Genomic DNA, 7,782 nt, shown 5'->3' with positions numbered 1-7,782 from the left:
ATATTTCTTTGATTGGTTCACTCTGTAAAAATCAAGAAACAATGGTCAACTCAGCTGAGCCCCACTGACACCCAGATTGGGGTATTGAAATATTTTCTGCTAAAAGAAACTAGGGCTTTTAGGGAAATGAATGAATTCTGGATCTGGTTTAGGAAATGTGGAACTACCCTCCGCCCCCCTCCACACACACACAAGAATCTGAATCTTATCGATGTATTATATTTCATTAAGGAGAGGCAATCAACAAAATTCAGACTGTGGAGAAATTCCATATGGCAATAGAACCAATTTCTTCAACAACATCAACAACAAAAAATGCAAAGACAAAAACCCAGCATATTGAAGGAAAACCTATAAAGAGAAAAAAAATGTAACAGTGAACCACAATGTATTTACTTACTTGAATCACAAGTCAATCTAGGCAATGTTTTAAAAAGAGTGGAAAGAAGATAATTGGGATCTGTGAACACTGATGAATATTTTAGTGAAAATTTTAAGAAAATTTTTAGGTGAGGATGGTTTTGTGTTTTATGGTAAACACCAAATCCTATCCAGGAGTTTAAAAATTGTTGAAGATGGGTGGTGAGTATATCAGGCTTATTATTTTAGTCTCTCTACTTCTGTTTGTGCTTAAAATTTTCTGCAAGAATATGTTAAAAATGTTTCCATTAATTCAAATTTACATAGTTACTAATAGCAACAATGAAAACTCTTTTATCAAGAGAAGATTTTTGATGTTCAACATTTCTTATTAATATTTCAAGGAAGTTAATAAGATACTATTTAAGTCAGAAACTCAATTACCTGTTCAAGCTTAACACTGGCAAATTTTCTTCCCAATCAGGTTCCTCTGCTTCATAAAAGTCATTTCAAGTAAACTGAGAGAACTAGAAACTAGAACTGAGTGATAACAAATAACTATGAAAATTTATTTTATGATTTAATTTCATTCTAATCTAGGCTTTTAGTAATTGTATATACATTGCCAAACACTCAAAGTTTTAGAAAAACTAGATTATGTATCATATTTAGAGATATTTCTACTATTGTTAGCTTTCTATAAGGTATACTCCCCTTTTACTCAATCTTCTATTACTCCATTGAGTAGAACAAGTTTTATATAACAAAGTTGGAAAATCATGTCAGTGAACCAAAAACTGATTATATGTTTAGCATGTTGTTATTGGCTAACCATTTGGGGAAAGATTCACATCGTATCCTTATTTGATACTTTATACCAAAATTAACTCTATAATATATTAAATATTTAAAATGAAATAATAAAAGTAACATAATACGAATTATTGATAAATGCTTATATAACCTATGTTGAAGAGTAACTTTCTCTTGTGATATCGAGGCAGATGCTACATAAAAAGATTAATAGACTTGAGCACACAAAAACCTTAACCAAAATATCACAAAGTACTCCTCCCGGTTAGTGACCCACAGGTAAATGTTTAAAACATATGTAATTAAGGGTTAATATTAACATATTGAAGGTGTTTCACTTATGAATTCATGAGGAAAAGATAATCTCTAAGAAAAAATGGACTAAGGCCATGAATAAATGATGCAGAAATAAATAGAAATCACTAATATACATGTGAAAAAATGTTCATATATGCTTGCTAGTAATAAAATAAATGCAAATTAATATGAAGATGACAATTTCTCATCTACCAAAGTGGCAAAGACAAGGCGCCTGATTGGGCGGGTGTGTGATATTAGGGACTCAAGTACTGCACTGCTGGGAGAAGTAGCAATCAACACAAGTCTCTCTCGAGGCAATTTGGCAGTATTAAGACTCATAACATTTACATAACCTTTAACATGGAACTTTTTTTTCTGTAGAAATTTTTTCTTAAAAAAAAAACCAGAATGAGTGTGGAAACATTTAGCATAAATGTTTATGGCAGCATTATTTATAATAGCAAAATACTGTAAGCAACCTGAAATCCAATGATGAAAGATTTATACAAACCCTTGGTAGATATACACAGATGCTAAAGAGGTGCTTTATTAACAGAGAAAGACGTTATAGCTGTTGTTAAGTAGGAAAAGAAAGGTTCAAAGATATTTATATTGTGTTATTCCATATTATTATTTACGTATAGTCTATCTGCATTTTATATGAGAAACCTGTAATTTTGTGATAAATTTTAAAAAGATGCCTTATTTCCTATTTATATTTGAAAAGATTCTGATAAGAACCTATGTTGTAAAATGTAACTATAGGAAAGATCATTCAAGATATTGTAATGCTTGTTCTTTTTCTAATTTTTTTAATTTTTAATTTTTATGAGCTAATTGTAGTTGTACATATATATGGGGTACATGTGATATTTTGACACAAGCATACAATGTGTAATGATCACATCTGGGATATTCATAGCAACTAGGATATCCATGACCTCAAATATTTATCATTTCTTTGCGGTGGGAACATTCCAAATCTACTGCACCCACATATGAGTAAGAACATGTGACATTTTTCTTTCTGTGCCTGGCTTATTTCACTTAACATATGGTCCTCAAGTTCCATCCCTGTTGTTGCAAATACCAGGCTATCATTCTTTTTTATGGCAGAATAATATTCCATTATGTATATATGCCACATTTTCTTTATCAATTCGTCCATTGATGGGCACCTAGGATAATACCATATTTTGCCTATTGTTAATAGTGCTGCAAAAAAACATGGGAGTGCAGACATATCTTTGATATACTGATTTTCTTTCTTTTGGTTACTTACCCAGCAAGGGGATGCTGGATCATATCATCATTCCACTACGGAGAACCATATAGACATTCCTCAAAAATCTAAAAATAGAACTACTATAAACAACAATGCTCGTTCTTTTTGAGGCAGAGTACTGAAGAACTCCAGAGGAAAAGCCCAAAATGGTCAGGAACCTGCATGATGTATACTCATATTGTGATCAAACCAAACTGAGTCCAATTGCCCATAAGCAACAGAAAACTAAACACCAAAGCTCCGGGTTTTGCAGCGAGAAAGGTTTTTGTGAGTGGACTGACAAGGAGACGGGAGGAAACGCTCAAGTTGGTCTCCCCTTACTGTCCTTGTAAACATAAATTTTAGGGAGACATTTTGAGGGTGGGGCTTTGGGTCTGGAAAGAAACGGCATTTGGAAAGTGACTTGGGCATGTGCTGTTGACCCTACATGCTTCTTTATGCCTTGCATGTTCAAAAAATGGCAGTGTTAGCATGATCTGGAGGTTAAGTTTTCAGCCCTCTGGTGTCAAAAGGTCCCTCATGGGGTGAGTAAATCTACTCTGTGCAGACTGTAGTCAGCCATGTTGGTTCCAACCGGTCTCAGCCTGCCAGCCAACTTTGTTGCAAATCCCGGGGATTTTAACAATCTGTTTTCTTCTCTGCTTGTTATCTTCACTGTGTTGCAAAACAAGCTCGAGAAATTTTGCTAGTTAACAAATTCTCTAACCCTGGGGCATGTTTCAGTGCCCCCTGTCTTTTAATCATTCCTCAATCTTGTGATGATGACCATTCTAGGTACTTTCTGCTGACGAGGAGCATTGACCTTAGAGAAATGAAATTGTTTAGCACTTTGCTGTGGGAGTTCCCTGGTATTAAGCTTACATTTCAGAAGTTTCAACCCGGTTCTGGGAAAGAGACATTTTCAGCACCAGAGAGTTAAGAAATTGAACATTATTCTCATAACACACAGGAGGAAATGAATAATCAGGAAAAGTTGCAATACAGGTCAGAAGAAGGATCCAATATCTTGGGGAAGCCAACTGAAAAGATTATGAAGTAGAAGAACCTTGGTTCTTTGTTAGATACTTGGTTAAGGCAGGTGGCTTCTTGTCCGATTTTCTCCAAATGTATCTCAACTTCTGCAGTGGTATTAATGTAAACGCAACATGATGTGTTAACTACTACACAAACAACTCCTTACTCGGCCAGTATACAATCAAGAGCCACTCCATGGCTATACTATTTTAACCAAAGAATCTATACCCTCTGTTTTGCCACTGTGGGTAAGGTGGTCTCATTGGTAAGCCTTGCCAGGGTGTTGGAAAGATTTCTAATCATGTGTTCATGAACTGCACACCCCACCTAGTTAACAGAGTTCACCTGAAGAAATATCATGCCCCATGCAATAAGCTGCCTGGCAAATATTTACTGGGTAGGGTATCTAACATAAATCTTGGCTCTTGCATATAGTTTTATGGTACTAGTCCAATGCTTGGCATCACTAACATTATTGATAAAGAAAGGAGTGACTAGGTGCCCTAGTAAACAGAAACCTCCTATATGACAGCTGTCAAGGTATTCATAGGTCCAAGACTGGCCATTTGCTCTGCAAGTAAATATATATCCTGAAGGGGGCACACACAATACTAGACATGTTGTTAAAATTCAAGTTCTCATTTTTGGAAATTTCATCTAGGACTTGATCAAGCCAGGAGTCAGTTTATAGTGGTGTCCAGGAGGAGTCATCTGTCGTACAAACTGGTAGGGAAGTGGGTGGTCCTTGAAGGTATACTCAGTTCCTTCTTGACATAATGGTGTAGACCTATATTTTGACATAATGGTTTAGACATTCTCCACATAATGATGTAGACATGTACTTTAATATAATGGTGTAGACCTGTACTTTAATATAATGATGTAGACATTCTTGAAATAATGGTGTAGACCTGTACTTTGAGGATGCATTGGTTCATCTCTTCTGGACTACAGGGTAGGATACAGTAAGCAAAAAGTAAGTGTTGTTATGTAAATGGATGATTTCAGTCCTTCCATTAGGCAATATCTGCTGTATGTGGGCATAGGCCTCTTTGTGCTTGCATTGTTTTTCAGCTCTTAGCATAGGTGTGTCTTTGTGGGAATTGTTAGTGGAAAACAGGCAACTGACAATTCTCCATCAGCCAATCTGACTCCATAAGTTATACCTATTTTGTTTTTGTTTTTGTTTTGTTTTTTTTTTATCATAGGTCACCATGAAATTTGGCATGCTAGAGAAATTGGTCACAGGGATAATTAGGAGATCAGCATGATTAGGTACAGAGGAGGTTCCTGGATCACATATGCAACACTAAGTAAAATCCCCAAAGTGGCAAGAGATTGGGAAACCTGTATTAAGGAAAAATTCCCATGCTATGATTAAAGCAAGTGAATGGATATCGTTAAGAAGAAGGTGGCGGGGCGGTGGGGGGGGCGGAAAATTTTAACAGAGGGAGTGAAGAACCTTAATGATCATGAAGAAATGATTTAATTTTTCAAGTAACACACACACAAATCACAAATTAATAGAAATTTAGGACAAAGCAAGCAACAAGTAAATCAAGAATCTAAGAAGCATCCATATCTTCTCTTGTGGCTTTCTTTTGAAAAGCAGCTAAGAGCAGCCAAAGCCTCACAAAAATAGGAGGCTGAGAGAAGTCTGTGTCAGGGGTAGGCTTCCAATCGATGTTGGGGTGGCCTTAGCCCTTATGGAAATCCTCAGGACAGTTCCCATTCTAATGGCATGACTGTGGGGAGAAGGTCAATCTGCTGAACTGGAACCATCTTGACATGAGAGTGGTGAATCCAAGGCGTGACTCCCTATAATTTAACAGAGAAATGAGTTACCAGGCATACTTCATATGGCCCCACATACCTGGGATGCAGTTGATCCTCAGAATGTTTGTTCTTCCAAGATTTAAGCAACACCCAGTCTCCTAGAGTCAAATGATGAAGCAGCACATCTATAAGAGACCTTAACCTGCGGGAGGCAAACTTATGAATAGCAGTTAAAGTGGCACCTGGGGATTGGACATATTTAATGAGGTCTAGTTCTCTTACCCTCCATCTCTCCGAGGCCCTAGGTCAAGCTCATTTTGAGGGAAGGGTCTCTCATAAAGTATTTCATAAGGGCTCAGTTGGAGCTTACTTTGTGGGGGCTACCCTCACTCTAAGCAGTGCAACCAACAGTGGCTTATCCCAGGTCAAATTAGTTTCTTGACAAATTTTAGCCAGAGCTTTTTTTTAGAGTGTATTTCATCTTTTCTATCTTTCTTGTGGAGTGGGGTCTCCTTGAAGAATGGTGTTTCCATTGTACTTTCAGAGCTCCAGAGATTTCCTGTGTCATTCTAGCAATGAAGGCTGCTCCACTGTCACTTTGCATTGAGGATGGCAGTCCAAATCTAGAAATGATTTATTTTAATAAGGTTTTGACTACTTCAGAAGCTTTTTCTGTCCTAGTAGGAAGGACTTCTACCTATCTTGCGAAAGTATCCACACATAGTAGCAGATACCTCAAGTTTCTGGCAACCTTCAGCATCATGGTGACATCTGTTTGCCAGTCCTCACTGGTGGTTTTTTTTTTTTTTAAACTTTTCTCTCTTCTCTTCCTTCTTCCTCCTTTTCTTCTTCTTCCTCTACTTCCTCTCTTCCTCCTCCTTCCTCTCCTCCTCCTCCTTCTTCTTCTTCTTCTTGTTCTTCTTCCTTGTCCTCCTCCTCCTTCTCCTCTTCCTTCTCCTCCTCCTCCTCCCCTTCCTCTTCTTCATCTGCTTCTGCTTCCTGATTTTTAGAGATGGGGTCTTGCTATGTTGCCCAGGCTGGTATTGAACTCCTGGGATCAAAAGATCCTCCTGCTTCAGCCACCCACAGTGCTGGGATTATAGGCTTGAGCCTCGGCCCCTGACCCCTCACCTGGTCTTAACCTCCTGGCTTGAACTCCTTTTATGACTGAGATGGACCAGTCTTTATGTTATGGAGTAACCCATTTTTCTAAAAGATGATTTAATTTGTTTCCCTTGTTCCCTACTTCCTACTTAGCCCTTTAGAAAAGCAAATATAGCCTTTTACCCTCTCCTTCATCAGACCCCCCACACAGGGCAAGTTCATCTGTCTCCTGGAGAGTTAATAATCAATTTACAGACCAAAGCATCCCCACTAAGGAACTCCCTCCATCAGGAGGTGGCCTCAAGAGATAAGAGTCTGTCCATGAAGGTGCCAGCAGTCACCAGCTTGACTGCCTACTGGATAAGGCACCAGAGCTTACGTGGACCCCTCACTTTGATTATTTCCTCCTTGCCTTTTAAAAGTGCCTGCTTTCTGCCCCAAAAGTGAAGCAGTATGGCAGGACGCCTGTGCCTCTTCCCCAAGCTAGCTTTGGAATAAACCACTTTCTTCATACCAGATCTCACTCTTGTTAATTGGACTCTGCATGTGGTGAATAAGTAACCTGATGTTCAGTTACATTTGGTTTATTCTTTGTACAGATCACACATTGGTGTATTACCTTTTGGATTGTTCTCCACAAGTTGGGTCCAATGATATATTTTTGTATCCATTGTAGTGTAGCATCCCTACCATAGTGAGTGCTCTTGTGGACATGACTAATTACTTCTTCCATTAAGTGCTGAGGAATCAGTACCTTTTCTTGTCTATTGCATATCCCTCTTTCCTTAGTATACTTTTATGTGGTGTCCTGAGAACATATCAGTCCCCAGTTAAATCCCCATTGATTGAATCTTTCCAAGTCCTTGGGGGAGTAGATGGGCTTACTTTTTGATGAGGGTGTATTTAGTTTGAGCTGGACATGTCCTGATGAGTGTCACTACAGCATTTTCAGCCATCCATATCCCTCGATTCATGAAACTACTTCCATCAGTGAATCAGATTTGGATCTTTTAGGGGTTGATTTACTGAGTTGAGCTGGCTAGAATAAACTTGACCGATAATTTGAATACAATAATGAATAGTTTCTTCCATGCTACTCAGGAGTAAGGTGGTGAGATTCAAGATGGAGA

Source organism: Homo sapiens, chromosome 10, assembly GCF_000001405.40.
Source record: "Homo sapiens chromosome 10, GRCh38.p14 Primary Assembly".
Lineage (NCBI taxonomy): Eukaryota > Metazoa > Chordata > Mammalia > Primates > Hominidae > Homo > Homo sapiens.
Note: the sequence above shows the minus strand (reverse complement) of the source record.